Genomic DNA, 24,954 nt, shown 5'->3' on the forward strand with positions numbered 1-24,954 from the left:
CCTCATGTGATTGGCCCATCTCAGCCTACCAAAGTGTTTGGATTACAGGCGTGAGCCACCATGCCTGGCCACATTGTTTCTTGATTATTATAATGTCATGGGGAAAAAAAGTGCATAGTTTGTTTCTGTGTCACAGTCCAGTTCTCATTTATTCATATCTGAGAAAAATACATCCATTTGACAATGGCTAACCAGTGGCACCCGCATTTTCCTCTTGGCAGCAACTTATAAGTGAGGTGGCTGTGCTTAAAGGTCTAGGAGTTAATCAACACTCAGAGAGATGATCTTGCAAACATGACATGCTTTAATGATACATCTTTATTTCCTTGGCAATGTTCTTAACAACATTTGATAAGCAGGGTTAAAAATTCATGGCCAACACATCGATTTTACAGTTTTCTTCTTAAGTATCCACAGATATTTAAGATAAGGTATTCTAAATAGAGTCTAGGTAACCACTTATACCTTAAAGTGCTAAAAAAATACTAGTTTTGAGTTCAATACTATCTCAAGTATTGAACTCAAGTTTGAGTTCAATATGAAAAAATTCAGATAAGAAATTATATTTGGCAAAAGACAGCTTGCGTTAAGATTTGATTTTCCTCACATTCTTTCTAAATATCTAACCTGTAGTAGAACTGAGACATTTAAGAAGTGCAGGCTCATTCATCATGCATTGCAAAATGCATTTCCTTTCAATTCATTCATATTGTAAGACTATCAAGGTTAACAGAAGAACAAAAATGGTATTTACTTTCCATATAATCGTCATAATTTTAAACTTATATAATTAAGAACAGAGGGACAGCAGGGAAAATGGACGAGAAGGCCTCCAATTTAAGCCAATATTTCCTCTAATTTTTTTTTAAGTTGTAAGTAGATAACTATGTTACATGAAAAGTAAAATAGGAGGATTGAGCATAAATGATCACTTTATCCAGCTATACCCCAAGGATGATAAATACGTGGCCTACTTTCACTCCCACAGCAGACATCACTAATTGATAGGGCCTGCTTTCCCAACAAACACAGATTCCTCTGACCTCAGAATTTCCCAATAGTAACATTGATTATCTATTATTTGCACAGCACTGTACTAACCTCTTCACATGCATCATTTCATTTTTATAACCTCACAATATCCTAATGAGGTAGGTAATATTATATTCTCTTTTAGAGATGTGGACACTGAGAATCAGGAGTTAGTTAGCTTAACAGTTGGCAGGGGCTGAGTGGCATTGAAAGCCAGACTCATTTTAATCCAATGTCCATGCTCGTAATGACTACCCTCTAAAGCCAGCTTCCACCAGTTGACTGCAGTTAGCACCTAATCTATTTGCTATCCTAATTTTTATGTTTACATTCCTGCTATAGCATCACTAACCATGGTCACAGGAAAGATGTTACTGCTTTCAGGAAAAAAAAATCTTTTTTAAAAACTACTCCCTGGTCTTAGCTTTGTTTTTAAGAGTCACACAAAGCATACTCATGGGTTACGCATGTTAGCACTATTGTACCTCCAACCTCCTCTCTGTTATTTTTCTATAAAGTCTCGTCTTGAACAGAATAGACACCTTCTGTTCTTTCAGTCAGGCCATATGCACCTTTCATATGTCTAGTCATTCTTCTCTGGCAGTGCTTCAGTTTGTCCACATCTCCCTGAAGCAAATAACATGTTGCCTGTGAGGTCTGACCAGCCCAGAGTACAGTAGGACTACCACTACCTTCCGTGTTCTGGCTCTCTTTCTTATCACATCTGAAAGCTGATTTTTAAATCAATTTCATACTCCACTGACTTGTACTGAATAATATTTTACTAGGTCACCATAGGCCTTGAACTCCAAATAAAAAGGTAGATATAAGAAGAGGGAAGTAGAAAAAAGTTAAGAGCTACTTGAAGAAAAAAGGTTGAGGGCCAGGCATGGTGGCTCATGCCTGTAATCCCAGCACTTTGGGAGGCTGAGGTGGGCAGATCGCTTGAGCTCAGGAGTTCAAGACCAGCCTGGGCAACATGGTGAAACCCTGACTCTTCCAAGAATTTAACATACATACATACATACATACATACATACATACATACATATATATATATATATATATTAGTTGGGCATGGTAGCACTTTCCTATAGTCCCAGCTGCTCACGAGGCTGACACAGGGGGATCACTTCAGCCTGGGGGATGGAAGCTGTGGTGAGCTCTGATTGTGCCACTGCACTCCAGCCTTGGCAACACAGCAAGACCCTGTCTCAAAAAGAAAAAGGTTGAGGCGATGGAAATATTTCGGGTGGGAGAGGCTGCAAGTTCCCCATATCAAAATGTGTCCTTTTATTTAAGTAGAATATACTTAGCCAAATGTAGTAAAGTGACCCAATCCAAAATTCTCTCTTACTCTGCCTGAAATTCCATCATTTAGAGATTCATTTGGGTTAATAAGCAAAAACAAATAAAATAAAGCCAAACAAAACAAAAACTTCATTAATAATAACTTGGATTATCAGACAATCACACACTTAAGTAACCTTTAAAAGGAAAGCAGGGCTGGGCATGGTGGCTCACACCTATAATCTCAGCACTTTGGGAGGCTGAGGTGGGAGGATTGCTTGAGGCCAGGAGTTTGAGACCAGCCTGGGCAAAATAGAGAGACTCCAACTCTACAAAAAAATTTAAAAATTAGCCGGGCATGGTGGCATGCACCAATAGTCCCAGCTATTCAGGAGGCTGAGGTGGGAGGATTGCTTGAGCCCAGGAGATGGAGGCTACAGTGAGATATGACTGCACCACTGTACTCTAGCCTGGGTGACAAAGCAAGATCCTGTCACACAAAAAAATAAAAATAAAGCAATTTGGTTTAGCAAGTGACACTAAGTTTTTGTATTGAAATTATAGCTTTTTGAATGGAATAAGGGTTGAGGAAAAGGTGAAGACGACTAGGAATTTGGAGTTGGGGGTAGAAAATCAAAATCATTCTGCTAGATGGATATGACAACCACATTTTGCAAAATAAAAATCAATACACATGGTCAGATAGAGGAAAGAGGAATTTGGATTGGCACAGTGGCCACACACATGAGATGCATGGATACCACAGAACTTTGTTGGTGGACAGACCTGGAGGGAACAGCACCGTGTCTTACAGCAAACTGCAAGACAGCAGCAGGGCTGGGGACAGCTTCAGGAGGCAACTTCACCTTCATGGCCATTCAACCTGAGACTAGTTAGGCTGTTGCTTTCTCTTCCTCCCCAACCCAAACCATGTATCTCTGGTCTCATCCTCAGACACTGACTATGGTCTGCTTTTCCCAGCAGCCCCCAGTGCTTTACCCAGTATCTACTGGTGAGCACTCAAGGGTGAATGTTGCTGGAACACCAAATACTCTGCCTGGGAGGTGCTGCAGCTGGAGGGAGAATGATGAGAGCCTTGGTCTATTGGCTCTCCAGACATACTGACTCCCAAGGGTCCTCACATGACTAGGAAGGGGAGAAGCCAACAGTCATTATCGAGAGGAGCCTTGAGCAACACCCAGTTTATATGGGACTGCAGGGTGGAAAACAGCACTAAGGCTTAACAAATGATCTTTGCTTTTGCCACTGACCTAATACAATATAATTTAATCTTAAGAACCATGTAATAATTCTATTTTCTCTCTGAAAAAGAACCACAGCTGACCCTCAGGTCTAATCCTTTTGATACCTGAAAGTGGGGGTGCAGAGTGGGCGCTGGAGAGGAAGGAGAAGAAATCCAAAACAAAACAACAAGCCAGCTGCTATAAAGCTGTGACTACAGCTTATGAGGTTTAAATTTACGCACAAGTAACCTTGGATACCTAGTATTTGACCCCTAAATGGCCCCAGCTGAGCCCAATTACTATCTGTGCACACACATCTGTGTTTTCTGTAAGTCAACACAGTAATAAGGCTTTGTTTTCATTCTAAAGCTCCAGACAGATGAACTGAATTCAGTCCTGGGGATGTGTTCTACTAACAATTAAAGGTTACACAGAAAGTTTAGGACGTTTGTTTCCAGAAGACACACTCATATTGCAAAACTGTGGCTTAGCTTTTGCTATTGATTTTAAACAATATTTAGCAAAAATTCTTACTGAGGAGGAGAATTCTCTTCCCATTTCTGCCATCAAAAGAAGATGTTATCCTGTACATCTTTAAGTCCACCAGTGCTATGAGTTGAATGTCTGTGTCTTCCACTGTGCCCCCTCCCCTGCAAATTCATATGCTGAAATCCTAAACCCTAAGGTGATGATGGTATTAAGAAGTGAAGCCTTGGGGAGGTGATTAGATCATGAGGGCAGGGCACAGCTTCATGGATGGGATCAGTGCCCTTATAAAAGTGATCCCAGAGTGTTGCCTTGTTCCTTCTGTCATGTAAGGACACAGCTAGAAGGCACCATCTATGAGCAACAGACCCTCACCCAACACCGAATCTACCTGTGCCTTGATCTTGGAATGCCCAAGCTCCAGAACTATGAGAAATACATTTCTGTTGTCTATAAGGTACCCAGTCTATAGTATTTTGTTACAGCAGCCTGAATGAACTAAGATACCCCCCAAAAGCAAACTGTATGAGTTAGAACAGGTAGGGACTTAAAGAGTGACAGAAGGGTGCCGTGGGCCTTAGTGATCTGCCTACCATCAGCCAAGGCGCCTTATTGTGGTCACAGCACCTCAAGGTTTACTTTCCTCCACTCTGAGTTCATATGATTTAGATTTTGGCTTCTGTCACTTTCTCCGGGTTCCAGGGGTGGGGAAGTGACCCAGGATTGGTCAACTGGAGTATTTCACACACCCCTGCCATAGGGGTGGTCATGGGGCACAAGACAGATTGATAGAATCCATTCAAGACTATTTAGAAAGCAAAGTTGAGTGCCAATGGAGAACAGAACAGAATTCTGCTGCACCTACTATCGGGACAACACTGAGACTCTTTTTTGTTAAATACAAAAAACACAAAAATAAAATACTTTTTTTTTTTTTTAAGCTAAAGCCAGTTTGAGCTGCACTTCTGTAGCTTTCCCTTAAAAAGTCTGGACACAGTTGAGGTCAGTCTGCTGGAATTTTATTTCTTTGAGTTTACTATGGTTGAACAATAATATTTAACATGAATAAGGTAGGCAGTATTCGGATGGCCCAAATGATTGAGACCTCCTAGTATCCTCCTAGTGTTGAATACTAGGGAGATGTAATCCCTTCCTCATGAGTATAGACTGGACCTAATGACTCTCTTCTAATGAACAGAAGGCTACAGTGATGAGATGTCACTTCTGAAATTAAATTTAAAAAAAAAAACTGTGTTTTTTTTGTCTTGCATGCCCTTTCTTGCTCTCTCTGGCCCACCTATTCTAAGAGTGACCAGTTGCCTTGTTTGAGCTGCTCAGTGGAGAGGGGCATTTGCCGGGAGAAAAAGCCCTCACAAAACTGGTATCTCCATACAATAGCCATCTAGAACTTGGATCCTGCCTGCAGCTACGTTGGTGAGCTTAGAAGGGATCCCTCCCCATTCCAGCCGAGAGATGATTGTAGCCCCAGCCTATACTTTGGTCACAGCCTTCTGAGAGACCATGAACCCGAGTATCCAGCTAAGCTGCACCAGTATTCCTGATCCACAGAAACTATGAGAGAAGAAATGTTTGTTTTTTTAAGCTGCCAAATTTTGGGGTAATTTGTCATGCAGCAAAAGATAACTGATAGAAAGGAATTAAACTTAAATAGATTAACAATAAAATACTTATCCTTTGCCTTTGTGTTATGTTTTCCAAGACAACTCTCAATTACTTTATTTTTAGGACTTTAAAATGCAATTTCAGTATATTCAAGGTCACAGCATAATTCTATTAGGTTGACAGAATATAGTATTTGAGTAGTAAAATTCTTTACAAAAAGGCTCACACTTGAAATTCCATTCTAGTTTAGATGAATCTGTTTTACAAATACACATTGAGAACCTGCAATGTTCTAGGCACAGGAGAATTAAGTCGGATGGGCAGCTTGTTTCAAAGAGCTCTAAGTCCATTCAGGAGAGGAGAAAATCCCATAAGATTTGGAAATAAGTGAATCAGGAGGAATGCCAGTATTCACTAGTTGTGTGACACTGGATAAGCCATTTAAATTTTCAGTGCTTTTGTTTTCTCATCTATAAAATGAGGAATAACAGTAACAACAGCTAATTTATCAACTTATAAGATGGCTAGAAAGACCAAAAAGGACAATGTATGTTATAGCATTGTAAAATTTTAAAATAATATAAAATTATAATTATTGCAATGGTTATTACCAAAACTATAATATACAAACTTTGCTGTACAAATAGATAATGGTCCATAATTAATTTGCTGTTTACTGTCATGTAAAAAATTTTTTCCATTAACTATTTAAACATGTCCTTAAATTTGAAATTTGTATTCTAAACATAGCTGTTTTGATCACTCTTTTCAAAACCATGCAATCCGAATTACTTCTCCCTTGAATATAAAACTCTCATACTTTCATCTTAATTTATTCTCTGTGACAAGATAGTTACAGTAATTGTTTACAGAAAAACTGAATGAAAATTACAAGGAACATGCAAATTCTAATCATTTTGATTAGACCAATTAATAACTTTTATAAGCAGAAAAGTTTCTATCTTATAAAAAGGAGAAAAAATTTTATTTGATGTTAAATTTAAAGTGTTTAGAGCTACCATTTAGAATCCATTAAATGTTATCATTACTTCTATTGCCTTCTCCACTAAGCTTTAATATAATTTGTGATTCATTAGATCAACATTTTGAGGTCACTGAAAAACACTTTATTTTCAATATGCCACTGTACTTAAATTTATAATTCTAGTCCAAACAGCAGATCCCTTAATAAAAATGCACCAGCAAGAATAACTGATTTCATTTTAGGGAAAAGATATCAACAATAAACTGCTTTGGACTGCGCAATCAATGGTTATTGAATTCTGGACTCCAAGCTAATATTTCCAGCTACATAGGTCCTTCAGACTCAAGTTGCCCACTTTGCTTTTAATGAACAAGGTCAGAATCATGAATATAAGTACTATGACAGGAACAGAATACTTTACCTCAAAAAATTTTAGCCTTGAGGCATCGTAAACTGTCAAGTATCTTTCCAGTAGGCCTAAATATTAATATACACTTTAAAGTTGGAGATAGATCTGTCCCTTGAAATCCACTATTCTAGTTGTCTACAGTTTGGTGTGAAATAAAATAAAATTAAACATTTATTAAGCTCTAACTATGGACTACCCCGGGTGCAGAGGGAATACAAAGATGAAGTATAAAGTAGATGAAATAGATAAAATATAATAGAAAACTTAGATAACGTAAGGAATGAGAAATGAATTCAAGGTTCCTAGTTTTTAGAGGATAATGCCTTTATAGCTAAAAGAGAGAAGAAAGGTACTGGGAACATATTTGGGTAGGAGCTAAGGTATTGAGTTCAGTTTAGGAAAAGTCAAAATCTGAGGTAATGCACCACCCAGAAGACAGTTGGAAAGATAGATCCAGAGCTCATTTGTGACATCTAAATTACAAAACGAGGGAGGCGGAGATAGCCCAGGAAGAATTCAGAGAGTTAGAAGGGCCAGTGCTGAACCCCAGAGTTAAGGGGAAGGAGCGGGAGGAAGGAGAAGGTATCAAAGAGAGGCTGGAGGACTGGAAAGAAGATGGGTCACAGAAGCCAAGACAGGAAAGACTCAAAGACCAAAATGATGACTGGTACAGTTGCTACAGGAAGCTCAACGAAGTTAAGAAAGTCTTAAAGACCACTAAATTTGGAATAAGGTGATCGCTGGTGATCTCTGCTGAATCCTTTTCAGTAGAATGGCAGGTGCAGAATCCAGAGGGCCACAAGGCATCGCTCAATCACTCTAAGTGAACCAGGCATCTGCTTTGTGTTTTGGGGACAGGAAAGTACGTGCTGCATAGTGGAAGTTTTTGTAAAAGATATTTGGAAGGTGGGAGAAGCAGAGTCAAGTAAACTAAGAAGTAGCCTCTATCTTCAGTTCAGAGTGTGTTTCCGGATGGGAGGAGCAGACTGGGACTTCAGAAGAGAGGTGCGATTTGGGAATAATTGCTTAGGGAAAGGGAAAGAGAGTGGCTGGAGATAAAGACAAAAGATTGATGACTAGTGTTGAGAAACCAGCTGAGGCTGGAACTCATAAATCTGTAATGTAGCCAACCACCATGGTTATACAGTTTTTTTCTTCCAGTAATGTCAGTAGCAGGAGTGAAGACCACAGATGGTTTGATGGAGCTAAGGTTGAGCATTGGCAGGGTTGTAAGGATGAAGTCTCGAGGAGAAACAAATACTTGAGGGGCCTGGTATCAGGCCTGGTATCAGGGAACTGAATACCTAATCAAAGAATAACTCAACAATACTCTTTTTTGATGTCCTTAATATTAGATATGTATTATTTCAGCTTTTGGGGTACAAGTGGTTTTTAGTTACACAGCTGAGTTGTATACTGGTGCTGAGATTTTAATGCACCTGTCACCCGAATAGTGTACATTGTACCCAATATGTAGTTTTCTATCCCTCATTCCCCTTACCCTCCCTGCTTCTGAGTCTCCAGTGTCCATTGTACCACTCCGTATGTCTTTGCTTAGCTCCCACTCAAAAATGGGAACATGCAGCATTTGATTTGCCATTCCTGAGTTAGAGAAGTCAACAATGTTCTCACATGTGGGGATGACTGGTAGGGAATTGAAGGGCCTGGAAAGTTTAACATTCTGGATTTCTCATGAGAAAGAGGTGGGAAAATGAGATTTTATGAAACTTTTGAGGAGAAAAATAGATACAAAAATAGAGAAAGAACCTGATAAATGTAAGAGCTACCAAATACGCTTAACAAAGCAAAAGAACTGATTTGGAGCTTTTAGAAATGATACACTTTACTACGACTTTTCTCTACAAAGCTTAATATTTGCACTTTGTTCATAACATCAAACAACTCCAAATCATATCAGACCATTTCTTTCTTTTTTCTTTTTTGCAGTGCAGTAGCATGATCATGGCTCACTACAGCCTTGACCTCCTGGGCTCAAGTGATCCTTCTGCCTCAGTGTCCACACCCCCTTCTCCCAAGTAGCTGGGATTACAGGAACGCACCACTATGACTGGCTAATTTTAAAATTTTTTGTAGGAGCTGGGCATGGTGGCTCACACCTGTAATCACAGCACTTTGGGAGGCCGAGGGGTGAGCTTGAGTTCAGGAGTTCAAGAACAGCCTGGGCAATATGGCAAAACCCCATATCTACAAAATAAAATAATTTAAAAAGTAAATTTTTCATAGAGGCAGAGTCTCCTTATGTTGCCCAGGCTATATGGGACTATCTCTGAGGTTTGCTATTACAACTCAAACTAAGAGATCTCTGTCTCATTTAAATAAAATATTGCAATTTCTGATTGAGGAACACTCAACTTTACAAAGTAAAAACTAAAAAGTAAAAAACAAAACCTTCTAAATGAAAAGAAAACATACCTAATTGTCTGAGAAAATTACAACACTCCAAGTAGAACACTTTAACAAAGCCAAGCTCAAACTGGATAACATAAATTACATAACTTGACACTAAGAGTTCCCTGACCACTGTTGCCAATAATCCAAATAATATTCACTAAAAATGCATATATTTTATAGTAAATAATTTTACTCTCTTTGAGAAATATTTCCTATCAGTAAATTTGATATGTAAGTATTTACTTTATTCATGGAAGAGGAGAATATGATTCATGTGTGACTTAGCAATAGAAAATATAAATAAATAAAACTAGTTCCTATATAGTTTTCCAATTCTCATGAATTCTAGATTTATTTGGAATTCCTCAGAGAACTCTCTGATCTTATGAAAGTTTTATACCCACATTCACATTTTTGTTTATATAGATGCATTGGTTTTTTACTGTTCCACTTTTCACAATTTGAGTTCTAGGTATTACAGACACAAAATGCATTCATATTCAAATATTGTGATGGCTGGACATGACACAGGACAATGTCACAGCCCTCCTGCTCTTGTACTACGTTGCTGAGGGATTATACACAAAGCTGAGTCAAGGTCCCAACTCTAAACTGGATCTGTTTGCTCACCTTGGTGATAAATTTTCTTCCAGTCCAAGTATGCTGTGAATTACATACATCAGTCCCTAATTTCAGATTCAGTGGGAAAAAAAACAACAACAACAAAGTCACACTAGAGTGTAAGGTAAATTCTCCTATTCAAAGTATAATTGAATACAAAATAATTGAATGAACGTACTGAGAAGAACATTCACCTCATTACAAAAATGGTTAGTCATAACAGCATGTTGCGTTTGCTGCTTTTTCTCCTTTTGGAGCCGTGGAATTATATCCAAGCTGACTCAGGAGTTTATCAACCCATCACGAGGATGGAGGCTGCCATCATGAAGGCACAGTTGACTGGCAGCATGGGGAAGGATGGCACACAGCACTGCAGTTGGGAGCTGGGATATTCCTGCCATGGCTCTCAGCACATAGTAGTGCTTAATGCATATTGGCTGATAATAGCTAACATACCGACAATTGTGTAACATTGAGAAAATTAAGCTCATTTGGCTCAAGTTTTATCTGGAAAATAAAGATAATAGTATTAGTCTCATGGAGTTGTGTGGATTAAATGAGCTAATGCACATAAATTACGAAGCATAGGGCCTAGCATGCACTGATCTCAGGAGATCAAGCATAATAAACTTCGTAGCATGTGTTGAAAAGAAAAAGGTAGGTCTATAAGAATCTTATAAAGTATAAACACTGCTTTCCCCTTCTATTTTCCTTGCATTTGGATTCTCAAAACATCTGTTGCAGGAGCTGTGTTTTCCTGTGCTACACAGAGTAGTAGATGGAGAGGAATAGCATCGGAATCATTGATATGGCAAACTAAGATTCTTACAGCCAGAGTATGGTTTTCTAAACTTCCTAATCATTTCAAATACACGAATAGTGACTACAAAGTAATGAGATAGGTTTCTGTGGGTGGCTTATGGGAATCAGTCTTCTTCACAGCTTTTTAAGACAGAAACATCTATAGATGGTCCAGGCACTGTCTTAGATGCTGGAATACAAAGATGAGGATATGGCACTCACAAAAGGACACTGTATGTAAGTAATCACAAAACGATGGAGTAATTGGGGGTGCCATTCACATACACAGGGGCTCCAGGGCTAACCCTTGGGAGAGTGAGCAGGGTTGTGGGAAATTTCACATGAAGGCAGTGTTTGAAGCAATGGGAAGTGTATGGGGGAGGATACGATTAAAAATACACCAAGTTCACAGACTTAAATACTTACGTTACTTCTATTCTGAGCTGTGTAATCTTGAGTTAGACATTTTCTCTCTTTAAGCCTTAAACAATTACTGAGCAAATTACTCTGTTGTTAGAGATATTAAATTTATGTAAAATCAGAGGGCTGGATTGGAAGATCCCAACAGTTCTTAGGTTTAAAATTCCTTTTATGCCTGATCATCTTCCAAATAGTGCTAAAAACACCATTACACAGAAGATTTGGAATTTTTAAGAATAAAAGAGAGAGGTGTTTGTTCCTATAAATCATGAAAACTTGGCATTGGTAGATAAAACCAGCCATAAATAACAGTTTTAAGGTGATGGGGATTCCCCAATTCTACTTCAATAATGAAAGACCACTGTAAATCCATAAAGTGGAAATTTACAACCAACTGCTGAGCACCCGTACATCTCACCCTAAATTTTAACAGCTGTTCCCCTAAAAGTGATCACGATTATAAGCAGGGTGAAATGTACTGAGCAAAGTTTTTAAAGGTATAAGTTCATATTCATGTCTTCAAAATACTTGCAGAAGTTAATTTTTTGCAGGCAGATTACAGTTTACAAAAACAAGTATTAACCAGAGCTGTAATCATTTGTAAAACTTTCCACTACAGCAATTTGTTAACCTATATCCAATTTTTAGAATCAGCAAGGATGCCACTGTTGGCGTCACATTCCATATTGCTTACATTTGACATGTGCCTAGTTTTATCTCAAAAATGGGGCTTCACAAATCAAATGTTATTTTCTGCACCTGAAAATTCAGGAACCACATACTACTGCCAGCAGAAGCACAATGTGAAAACATAAGACCAGCTTAGCAGTAATCAAAAGCACCTGTTTTCACAAAATGTTTGCCACTGTTCTGAAACTACACATAAATTTTAAGTTTGTTGGCTAGACTCAATCGTGAAAAGCAGTTCAGATAATTATCAGAAAACAGGAATTTCATCTTACATTAAATTTATTTTTAAACATAAAAGTCCAATCCTCTGAATCATATTTAACACATAGTAAGTTATGTAGAAAATAACTTATTCCAACAAGCAACATACAATTCCCTGTTTATCTATTGATAGTAACATAATCTACAATAGCAATATAAAGGGTCTAATTCTCCACAAAGCACAGAAGATGGTGATGCTGTGGGCTGTAACCTGAAAGACCCTGTACAACTTTGTGCACTTTCTGGAAATAATTTCTTTGACATATAATCTTTCCTTGGACATACAAAAGCCATTAAGAATCTTTATAATGGAGTGCACTTGAAAGACTAGGGAGAAGCATAAAATAATTTTGTTCTACAGAAAACAAACAACGACTATAAAGCAATCATACATTTTAGTATCCTCTGATGACATGGTAAGTGTACTTTTAGCTTAAGAATCATGCTCAATGGATGTTTAGGATCCAAATACAGAGAAGATTATGACACACTTACTAACACTATTCTACAGACAGAGCAAACCATCTTTTCATACCCCCAAATCACCACCCCCACTTTAGACAATCCCTAACTTTGCAATAGTATACTAACAGAAGACTCCTCTATGTGAATAGCAACAGCAGTCCTGCAAAATAAAGGTTTTCTCCAGTAACTATGTCCCCTTTGGCCACAGTCGTCTTTTACCTGTTAGTGACATATTGCAAAAAGACTTTATGATTAGGCCTGGTTTTAAATCTACATTTTTCCTATTCTGAGTGCATTATTCCTAGGAAAAAATGGATTCGGAATTAAAAAAAAAAACTGATTTAACAAATGAATGTCAAAGAAACAAGCCATCCAGAAGATGGCAAGGGAAGTACTGTATTAGAATGAATACACTTTTATCTCTGGAGGCTTTATGCCCCAGCCTCCTATCCAGATTATACAATGACTCCATCTCTTCAATCAGGGTCATCCCAACATCCTGTTCTCCAAGAAGGAACACTGTATCTCAAACGCTCACCCTTCTCAACACCTCCACCACTCCATCCCAAAACTTTGATCTGGTTTTCTTCATTGTACTTGCCACTAGTTTTTCTGTTTTCTTTTTAGCTTGCTGACTCCACTAGGGCAAGGACCTCCTCTGTCTTCTGTACCACGGTATCTCCAGCATGTAGAATGACTCTTGACACGTGCATCATCAAGTAATTGCTGAATGAATAAAAATGGTGGGATGCTTACCACAAATACAATCTTCCTATTCTTGAAAGAATAAAGATGGTAAGAAGAAAATTCAAGCATTATATTTTATTATTTACAATATTATTAATTATGAATAACTTATTTAGTCACAATCTCATACTATTTTGAGCCAGTTCAAATAATTTCTAAAACAGAGGTCTTCAAAGGTTTGGATATCAACTGAAATTCAGCTCAGTTTCTACATATCTATAAACCTACTTGCTGACGTTTAGTTTAAATCTACAGATCCAAATAACTCAGTCCCATGGTTGGATGTTTCAGAAAAGCTTTTTGGTTGTAAGATTATGTAATAGTTAGTGAGATAGTGGGGTAGAATTCTAACACTTCAAATTTTAAAAAGCAGATTAAAAATTCTATTATATTCTAATACACCACTAGGCATGTTTCCATCTGGCATCATGGTGAATGATCTGGTGAGAGGTACATGGGGAAGTTGTGTGTTCCCTCTAAAACAAGACTTAACTCTCTAAATGAAAAGTAAGGGCAAAGAATGTTAAATGCACTGCAGTTATGCTGCTAAGCGGAACGTCATCTGTCCAAATTTGCCCACTAGCTATCCCCTTCTTCCAGCTGTTTGGGATGTATGCTGCCCTGGGGAGACACAGCTCTACTGACTACACCTGCCAGTGATTCCTCTCTCTCTGGGGTCTTCAGCACTCTCCACTGGGATTTAGAACCCCATTTTACAAATAGGAAACTGAAGAAGCATACTGACCCAGGTGATTCATCCAAAGTCACATAGTTTTTTAGTCCCATTAAGAGAATTATATTTTGGGAGGATGGGAACTTTTATGGAAAGAATATAGTTTCCATCGGTGGCATTTATTACTATCAAATGAAAATAACTAAAGAATCATATTTTCCAAATAAGAGCTTACCAACACTATCAAACTTGAAACTAGCTGATCTGAGTTCCAATCTGAGTTCTGGTCCTTTCTAATTCTCTAACCTAGAGACCTTAAGGACTGGAATTAGTGAATACAACCCTGAGAGGAGCCTCTTGATCCTTCATGTCTGTCTCCTTTGGATGTGGGCTTGATTCCCTCCCAGTCCAGAATGGTTTCTCCATGAGCACAGTGCACTGAGTTGAATTTGCAAACTCTCACAGGAGCATTCTGATTGACCTAGCTGTTTATGAACAGACAAATCACTAAAGACTAAAACGTGGTAGTTTTCTATAATTGTAACCCAAATTATCACAGTTTTGATCAATCAATAATGACAGAACTGAAGGAGAAACAGGAGCATTTTAAATATGAACATTGCTCTTCCAAGGGGAATGAAAAAGGAGTTTTAAGGCAGACAAATGATGACCACTACATCATGCAAACAGAAAGCACTAGAATATGCTTTTTATTAAATAAATAGAAGCCTTGGTGATCTTGTAGAAATCAACAAAAAATAAGTAGAAAACAAGAAATAAAAATTACCACATGGATGTGGGCCCAATACAGAGCTCTTCTGTGTTTGTATAGTTAAAACAGAAATAGCATTGAAGGAATTACTCACCTCCACATGCCATATGTTACATCCGTGAAAGAGTAATGTGAATAAAAAGGAGGCATGAAATCTTATTGCACATTAAATTCAATAGAGTCTATGTTTATTTGGGTCAAGATATAGATTTTGAACACATATTGTATTTCTTGAAATAAGCCAGCAACTTAACATATAACTTACAATGTATTTAAAGGAGGCATAGGTTTATTCAGTAACTTGCCTTGTCTGGAAATGAACATGTTCACATTGGAACGATTTAAATGAAAGCTGGATGTCCATATAGCTGGGATATTGAAGAAGGACCTTCTATTTCAGATAGCATGCCGTACTAACTGGACTCCGAAGTCCCTCCTAACTCTAATACTGTTTGAAATAATTATGCCATTTTAAGTCCCCTGAAATAATATTCACTGATGAAGGTAGCTATATTTGCAAACCACAGAGCAAATGACAGGTGACACAGAAAATCACCTATGGTTTTTGAGCCACCGACAATCACTTTAATTAACATCATCTGTAAATATAATATCATATTAATTTGACTTGCAGTATTAAATCAGGAGTTTGTTTTTGTTCAGGAGTTTAAGATAAGATGGCCTACTGTTCAAAAAAATAAAGCCACCTATCAGGGAACTAAGTAGTTACAATTTATATGTAGATGATCCTGGACCTTAAATATCATCAGAAGGCTCATCAGTGAGCTAAAACAAAAGTGGGGATGAGAGGTGAAGGACCAGACCCAATAAGGGAGTCTGGCTGCTATTCCCAGTTCCACGACAATCAGTGGGGACTCCGTAAGTTGATTAACTTGTTTGTATATGTTACTTTATCTAAAAATATACTCAGGTTGACAAAGTAGATTCTAAGGTCCCTTTCAACTTTAGTATTTCTTTATTCCATATAGAAAAAAATATAGCTTGAGACAAGAAAGTTGGTCATACAAAATAACCAGCCCATGGAACATGATAGCCAATCAATTTTCAACAAGACAAATATACTATAGATGGAAAGCAATTCTTAGGGAAGAAAAATAAGCAGTATAGTCATAAAACAAGCAAGTTTGCCCTATTTCTTTATAATTGATGTTTCTTCTAATTCATTCGGGATTTTTTGAGTTAAACTAAATACAGCTAAGGCTTGAATCATTCAGGATTTCACATCCAAGACCTGTCAGTCTGATGATCCCACTATTTTTAACATAGAAATAAATGGCTTCTATGCTTGTAAGCACTAGAGAAGTAAGGACAGCCTATGAAATGTGCTTCCCTCTCTCCTTCCTTTTCCCCTCCCCAGTTCCTTCCTCTTCCCTGTCATCCCCCACAGACTGAGGAAGGCAAGACTCCCTTTGATTATGTGTTCAGCTCTTGCACATATTTCTGCACAAATCAGGCATCTTTCCAAAGTATATGTCAGAGTTCTCACTCTAGCCTTGTGGCACACTTATCAAGAAAGAAAGTCCTAATTAGACGTCAGTTTCCTGAAGCAGAGAGGGTGTGGTTACATGAATTTACCAAAGGGGGAAAACTCTAAAGGAACCAGTAAGAATAAATTACTTATCTAATCACCCACACCACAGCCTAAAAATTATCATTCTACAAATACCACTGTCAATATTGTTTTTCCTCTAAGAAGAACAATGCATCGTGTTTTTCAATGACATGAAAGAAAGTGAAGCACCCTTTTAAAATACGATTTGAATATCTAAGGCACTTTAAAGCCTGAATTGCCTAACTAGGAATTGTAAATGCATACAATGCATCATAAAATAATTTAGCTAACAATGATTTCATACACACACATCACAATTACTGCTGAATATCTATTAGAATAGGCAAACAACAACAACAAAACAACAAATGAAATAATTTGTACATACAAATGACCCTTTTATTCAGAAGGTCTAAGCCATATTCATGTTCCTCCCTCTCTCCAGTTTCCCTGAAATGACCCCAGTAAGAAAAGTTAATTGGTCACTAATGACTGCCCTGAGAGCTTTCCCAGACAGCTTTTCTTCAATCTAGGAGAGTCAGGAAGACCAAGAACAGCAGTTACCATGGAGGAGTCCCACTCCTAATTCCATACTATTACACAGGTGTATAAGATGCTAGCGCTGTACATGAGAGTGGCTCACATACCTCTATTCATAAGAGAGAAACAAATTCTTCTTTCTCAAGTAATTCAGCTGCATGGACAGCAAGAGGTCAGGATTGTTATGTATAAGCACAGTGTTAAGAGATTGCTTCTTTAATATACATTATCTGTCTTATAGCTGGAATATTATCCGGTGTGGCTAAATAAAAATACACATGACAATAGAATCAGACATTTTATTTTTGTATGACACATGAATTAACATATGACCTGCCAGAGCCTATAAAAAGACATTACCATAACACAGTATTTAGCGAAAAACAAAAACACCAAACATAAAAAAATGGAATGTTAGGGTCCTTTTCTAGCTCTTCACTACATTCAAGTTTATGACAGTTTTGTAATCAAAGCAAGTTTTTCTCAAGGAAAAATACCAAATGAATCATCTTTGTGAGAATTTCAAAAAGTAAATGGTGCTTCTTGGTGGATACGATTAAATAAAAAATGCAGTCTCGGATTTACAAACATCTTCAGAATTTCAAAGGTTTATCAAAATTCTCCAACACTACTTAATATTCAGTGATAGATTATGACCCTAAAGTAACAGGAATTCTCCCCACTGAGCATTCCTGTCAGAAAAACAATTCCCTCAGGATATTTAGGTGATTTCTTTTTGCCTTGAATACCAATGAAAATTCTCCAGTCAATACCTTTACCTAAATTGTTTTGGAAATCAAGCAAAGTTCAAAATATATACAATATAGTTCTATAACTGGGAAAAGCTTTAGGGACAAAGCCACCTTGTATCACATTTTAAAAGACTAAAACCCAGAAATGTTTGGTGACTTACCCAAAGCATGCGTCTGTCTAGTTTATTTAAACTCTAACTCTAGAATTATGAAGGATAGATGAGTGATGAAAGCAGTTTTTAAAAAAATCAAACATGGCCATCTCATGTACATTGACATACATCAAGTCAATATAAAGTCAGAGGAGATTTAAAATCATTCTATCATCATTGTCACTGCTAAAACTGAGTTTTGATGGAATTTCAGAAAAGTCATCTATTATTAAAATAACTTCTTTTCCATAGCATTTCACCCTATGGACATTTTAATTCAGACTCTGGCATTTAACAAGATTATAAGTGATGCTGTATTTAAGATGAAGGAATGGGTGGTGAAATTCTAAATCAGAACCCACAATAGAAGAGACATTAGGATAAAATTAAATATCAGAACTGGAAAATGTACTACAGGGAGGACAGACTTGGAGAATTTTCTGGGAGGTTCTTTTTAGCTGACTATTTCATTATTACACATACAAAGTTCTTGTGGCAATCTTCTCTAAAGGAAAAACTGACAAGACAGAGGGTTAAGTTTCTTTCAAGAAGTAAACACTCTAGGGAGAAAAAGAAGAATGACACTTCTGGTTCATCAATAGCATCATTAAGATGTGAACATCATCAGTAAATTCCACCACGTTTTCAGCCTTAATGTAGATAGTTTTTCTAAGCCGTCTCGAGAAACACATGGGGTATAAACGTTTAAATTATGCCAAAAACTAATTAAAACAGATATGTTGTAGATGTAATTGAATGCAACCATATTACCCATTTGAGAGGACTGGTTTTAAGGTCGGTCTCACTCTTTAATGCTTTTCTACAGCTCTAAGATGTAAGTGGATGTCTCCCCTACCCAATTCAGAGAAGCCCTGAAACCGAAGCCAAAAGATGCACTGAGAAGTCATTGTATTATATGACTTATCTTCTTTAAAAGCCCTGGCTATTTGACATTTGATGAAATGCCAAATCCCAAGTGCCTGAGTCCACTCTGACACATTCTGTTTATTATGTAGTAGTTTCAAGTTGGGGACCCAATTTGCAACTAACTCCACAAGTTATATATTACATAATGGGTATGTTCTGATAAATCACAGGAAAAACATGTCAGTTTCATATCTAAAGGAAATGACTTTTGATATTTAACATCTTATCCTTAGCATGGCCTTGACAAATGAGATAAAACGTGATTCTCTTTGAGTTATTTCACTTAATGTATAAAGACTACTTACTATCTTCATTATATAATTGTCCTAACTCTAGTTTGGGAATATTTCTTAGATACCTCCATATATAGTTCTTCTTGTCAAGACATTTTATAAACTTACAGAGTAATTCTATTGTTTTTAAATTCTTACCAAAGCTAGTAGTATGCAGGCATTTGAGAAATATTGTTCAATTCTGTTTCTACAAACATATATCATGGTACAAACCTGAGATGGTATGAATCTGACTCAGTATATATTGACTGCAAAAAATCTGTACAATGTCTACCAGTCTAATTAAAAGTTCATAAGCTCCTTTTATTCAGTTTCTGAGTTTTCAGAATTACACATGCAATCTGACAATATTTTTTGATGTGACATAAATTTTAGTTAAATTCTAGGATATAGTACGGAAACAAAATTTAGGAAACAGAGTGTCACTCTATCAGAACACATTATTCATGTGCACACATTTAAAAGAGAAACATCTCTAAAACCCCGAGGTTACTCAGGTAAAAGCAATACAGCCACATTATTCAAGCAAATATCAAATAATTACAATTTTACATTCTTGTATTATTGCCACCACATGAATTTTCAACCCTCAGTCTTCATCAATCGCAACAGAATTTCTAGCATTTAGAAGGAATTCTCATGGCTTTCAATACCACAGAAATTGGGATTTAAATTATTTATTAGTTAATGCTCAGAGTTTATAAGTGGGATGCATTCATGATTAGACATCAAAAGACCAGAACGAATTAGAATTGAAATATAAGTTTATAAAGATCCTTATTGAAGAAGACAAATAAATAATTTTTAGCTTTTTAAAAATGTAGATCATACATAACTGTCATCTTCCCCCATTTGGGGCACATCATAAACTCAGTGATCTCTGTGCATAGCTGCTTTCTCTCTGCACCCTTAGGCATTTCTGGGCATTTTAAATCTAGTGGGACAAGTCTAAACCTTACCAGAAACTTAAAGCGCTGACAGATAAAAGAAAACTGCTAGTTCTCTTCTATTTATAAGCTAAGTTTCAAATGTCTCAATATAGACATATTACGGATACTACAGGTATCACTGCTTCTAGCTGACAGCAAATAAGAATTAACCTTATTTAATAACAAAATTGTAAACATGCATCAGAGAAAGGTACTTGAACTTCCTTGTACAAACAACACCTGAGATTAATCACAGATAACTGTCTAGAAGTCTGTATCAGGAGCATTAAGCATTAACATCAACTTGAACATGAACAATTATTTCTTCCAAATGAGCTAGCCTTCCCTATTCTGAAAGAAAAAGGAAAGCAACAACTACAACAGAGCATATTCTGGCCACCTACTACGTTGGCTTGCAACTTTTTTGAATGGCTTATTAAAATAACATAATTAATTTCACCTAAAATATTAACGATGTGTACAGACCTTGGCTGGTGACACTGTCTAGATGCTATTATCTAATGGCTGTTCTTGCAACAAATCAAGCAAAACATAGCACTTCAGTACTTACAGACTGCTCACAGAGAACACCATCTGAGAAACCTTTTGCATTTAAGATTAAGGCTCCACACAAGGTTTATTGTTAGCCCCAGCATGCGAGAAGGAACCGGAGGATGGAGAGAAGCGCTTACTTCGAAAATGCTCTGAAGCGTAATAATAGACATCCTCATAGCCCTCGTGGTAATCCTCTTCTGGTCGGTACTTTTTCCCCTTTCTTCTCCTAGATCTTCTTATCGCCTTGACAAAACCCAGGAAGCGGTCCATCTCTTACTCACCGTGCAGCGCGGCACAGCTAGCACAAGAGCACAGCAACAGCCCAGCTGCTCTGCGAGCCGGTGGAGCATGAATGACCAATACCAAACCTGGACCAGGACAGCTACCCTTCTATCTACCTCTGGGCTACCATCAACACGGCGACTTTGGCCATCGGAGGGGAAAGAAAATAATAGCGATATGGGTTTACCTTGACAATATTTCTCATTTAGATCAATAAACTGTCAAATCTGTAATTTTTTTAAAAAAAAAAGAGGAAAAGAGAAAGAAAATGAAATGGTAATAAAAGACTAAGAGAAAAAACAAACAGCAAAGCTTTGGACTTTAAATAGCTTCAAAACAAAGTTCAAGAGATTCAGCTGAGGCAAGAGGAGTCCCAGCACGAGAATTTCACTATCCAATATCTCCATCATCTCATCATCGGGGCGGGGGTATAGGAGAAGGGAGGGCCGGGGAAACACATTAGTCAATGGACTGAACCAAAGTTAGAGACTGAACTGACTTTCCTACCTGCTAATCCAACACCCTAATCCTAGCCCACATTATCTCAAAACATGTGCTTGGGAAACCTCTTGAAAAGCTATTGTTTTGCAATGGGCGTACTGATTAACCCTTTGTGCTCCCTTGCATATCATATTAATAAGCAGCAAAGTGGTTTCATCCATATGCACAGCCCTCTTGCTGACAGGAGTGTGCAGTATGTGTTAATTGGAGCAGCAGGGAGAAGGCTCAGCAGCTGCTTTCAAATGACACGTTTACCCACTGGGCATTAATGTATTCCAATCACTGTTTGATTTAAATATTAAAATGCACTTCACAGAGAAGCTTCTCATAGGCTTAGTAACAGCATACCATAATCAGCAAATAAAGGAAACTGCCTGGTTTAAGGGAAAAGAAATACAAATAATCCAACTCAACTTAGACTGAACTCAAATATAAACCTAGCTCAATTGTTACATTTTTAAAAAAACATGAAAGTAAATGGGCTAAACAGCAAACAAAACTTAATTCTTCTTGGTGAAGACAGTGGAAAGAGAAATTTCATAATATGCTCACATGCTGTTCATCCTTTATCTCTAAAAATCACAAGCTTTAAAAAATTATTTTTAAGAACCACAATCAGAAACACTTCATAGTAGACGAGAGAGGTACTCTAAAGTCTAGAGAGGTCAGCATTAATCATGAATAATTTTTTTTTCTCTATAGCTTCTTTCTTCTTCAGGTCTTTAAGCGAAAGAGAACTTTTAACACCAGGAAAAATCTGATTTGTTTACAATATAATTAATCAAGCATGTCAGCATATTACCTATGAAACTAATGATATACTGCAGCTCCATGTTCCCAGAAATATAATTTTTAAAAAGCCTTCTTACTGAATAAAGATAGTTCAATATCTGTGTAATGTCAAGTTTGTAGGATCATCCCAGAGGGAACTGACTGCACTTTGCACTCTCTGTTAGATTCACAAGCAATTTGTCTGTCTTCTAGATTTACACAGTTCCCTATTTTCAGATATAAATTGATAATGATGGAGCAGGGAGAAATTTACTTAGAAAGGCAAATATTCATCAGCCAAGAACATATCACATCTAAAATATGTAGTTACTTTCAATGGTTCTGTGAAGTTCCTTTATTCCCAGAAGTTTCCCATTTTGTATGCCTTAGGAGTAAGTTTGTGGAAAGAAACACTAACTTAATGATGCTGACAAAAAGATGCTATAAAATGTTTTATGAACATCTTTAAATTAAAAAAATCACTTGTCCTTAGGTTTCTTTTTTTTTTCTTTTTTTTTTTTTTGGTTTCAAATCCTTTATTATTCTGATTCCCTCAACCAAAACAAACTAGAACAATTAACAAATAATGAATGAGAAATTTGAAGATCTGGATTTTAGACCTGAATAGTCACTAAATATATGACAATAATAATACACAATCTTTTAATTTAACCTAACAGCTCTAATAATGAGGTGAATGTCATTATACCTCTATGGATGAGCAAAAAAAGGTTCAATGGTGTTTTAGTGGTTTGTCCAAGATCACAAAGCTAATATTATCATGGCAGGTAGTAGCAGGTATTTTTCATACCAGTTCAGAGATTATTTTGTCTATCTAAGAATTACATGCATTCAAGTTCATTCTTTTCTATGTAAATTTTCTCTTGAAATGGAATTTGAAAAAATTGTCAACTTTCATTTTTAATGGACCAAACATATATCTTGGTTTATGTGATTAATTCAAGTATATGTGTCCCCCAGAGATAATGCAGGCAATAAATTTTACGCAACTACACTTGAATTTTAACTCTTAAATTAGTAGAGTCCATATTAAGTTTTGTAGTTTTAAGCTCCCAGTTCAATCTAAAAGGACTAACTTACAGAAGAGATGGTGCTTTACTCTTTAATACAAAGAAGATCCCTTTTGCATAGAACAACTTAAAACATTTCACTAGAGTTTGATTTTTTAATTTTGGTATTTAAAGGGACTGATTTTCTCAAGCAGTGGTAAGCAACTATTTTTGCACAAGAACTAATGCAGACAAAGTAAAATTATCTACATACCAAACTCTGTTTTCAGAAATAAACAGAAATTGTACATAAGCACCTATTTTTTTTTTTTTTACTTCTGAAGGATTACATTTGTTAACATTTCAGTATCTGTAATGATAGAATTTTTATATGAGATGTGGTTTGGTGGTGCTGGGGAGGAGGAGTTCAGAGTTTAGCCATATATTTGAAGGCATACAGCAGAAGGTGTAAAAGCTCATTACAACAATCAGAGATGCTTGGGAAGCCAGGATAAGGAAGCTGTTATTTAGGGGAGGTCCACTTGGGTCACAGAGAATGAAAGGATGTTGTAACAGATGATGTGAAGGAGGGAAAGCATGAGTATATGGGCCACAATCTGAAAGACAGAAGACTAGACACCGGGTGCTCTGCCTGAGGGGTGGCGGAGGTAAACGAGATCATTTTATTCAATTTTCCTGGGTCCATATTTCTTGATATGGTTTATATCTGTGTCCCCACCAAATCTCATGTCAAACTGTAATCCCTAGCACTGGAGGTGGGGTCTGGTGAGAGGTAACTGGATCATGGAGATGGATTTTCCATGAATGGTTTAGTACCATCCCCTTGGTACTATTCTCTCAGCAGTGAGTGAGTTCTCATGAGATGTGGCCCGTTAAAAATGTGTGGCACCTGGCCAGGCGCGGTGGCTCACGCCTGTAATCTCTGCACTTTGGGAGGCCGAGGCAGGTGGATCAAAAGGTCAGGAGATCGAGACCATCCTGGCTAACACGGTGAAACCCTGTCTCTACTGAAAATACAAAAAAATTAGCCAGGCATGGTGGCGGGCGCCTGTAGTCCCAGCTACTCGGGAGGCTGAGGCAAGAGAATGGCGTGAACCTGGGAGGTGGAGCTTGCAGTGAGTAGAGACCCCGCCACTGCACTCCAGCCTGGGCGATGGAGTAAAAAAGTGTGGCACCTTCCCCCTCTCTCTCTTGCTCCTGCTCTGGTCAAGTGAGATGCTCACTCCCCCTTTGCCTTTCACCATGACTGGAAGCTTCCTGAGGCCTCCCCAGAAATAGATGCCGCTATGCTTCCTTTACAGCCTGTAGAACTATGAGCCAATTAAACCTATTTTTTATACATAACCCAGTCTCAGGTATTTCTTTATAGCAATGTGAGAACGGACTAATACACTTCTGAATTTTTTCCCATCTTCTGCACTAAAATGATCCATGTTTAGCAATAAAGGGCCAACCTAAAGCCCTTTGTCAATTCTTGGTTGTATTATAATAGCTAACTGTTGTTTAACAATTGCTTAACAGTTAGCTATTATAATACAACCAAGAACTGACAGATTAGTAGTGTAGTTCAAGTCCATTCAATTAGGTGTACCACTCTTTGCGTAGAGAGAATGGCCCTTTCACTCCATACCACAAACTCCAGTAAGAGGTGCTATTTATCAGTTATTGCACTCTATAGTCTAAACTGATGGGACAGTTGAGAAGTTGCAAATGGCAG

At 37.4% G+C, this 24,954-nt stretch overlaps 1 protein-coding gene across 13 annotated transcripts in view; it reads right to left on the reverse strand.

Moving 5' to 3' along the window:
- The window catches only part of GRIP1 (glutamate receptor interacting protein 1), a 721,908-nt gene that overhangs the window by 435,833 nt on the left and 261,121 nt on the right, over positions 1 to 24,954 (reverse strand). For 6 of the 13 annotated variants that reach the window (NM_001379348.1, NM_001366723.1, NM_001379347.1 and 3 more), the window contains exon 1: positions 20,790 to 21,006. The exons of the other annotated variants lie outside the window; for them this stretch is intronic. In NM_001379348.1, the coding sequence (NP_001366277.1) occupies positions 20,790 to 20,922 (133 nt within the window). In that variant the 5' untranslated portion in view covers positions 20,923 to 21,006. Of the gene's footprint in view, positions 1 to 20,789; positions 21,007 to 24,954 lie in introns of those variants that run through there. 13 annotated transcript variants of the gene reach the window in all.

This window comes from Homo sapiens, chromosome 12, assembly GCF_000001405.40.
Source record: "Homo sapiens chromosome 12, GRCh38.p14 Primary Assembly".
In the NCBI taxonomy this organism is placed as follows: Eukaryota; Metazoa; Chordata; class Mammalia; order Primates; family Hominidae; genus Homo; species Homo sapiens.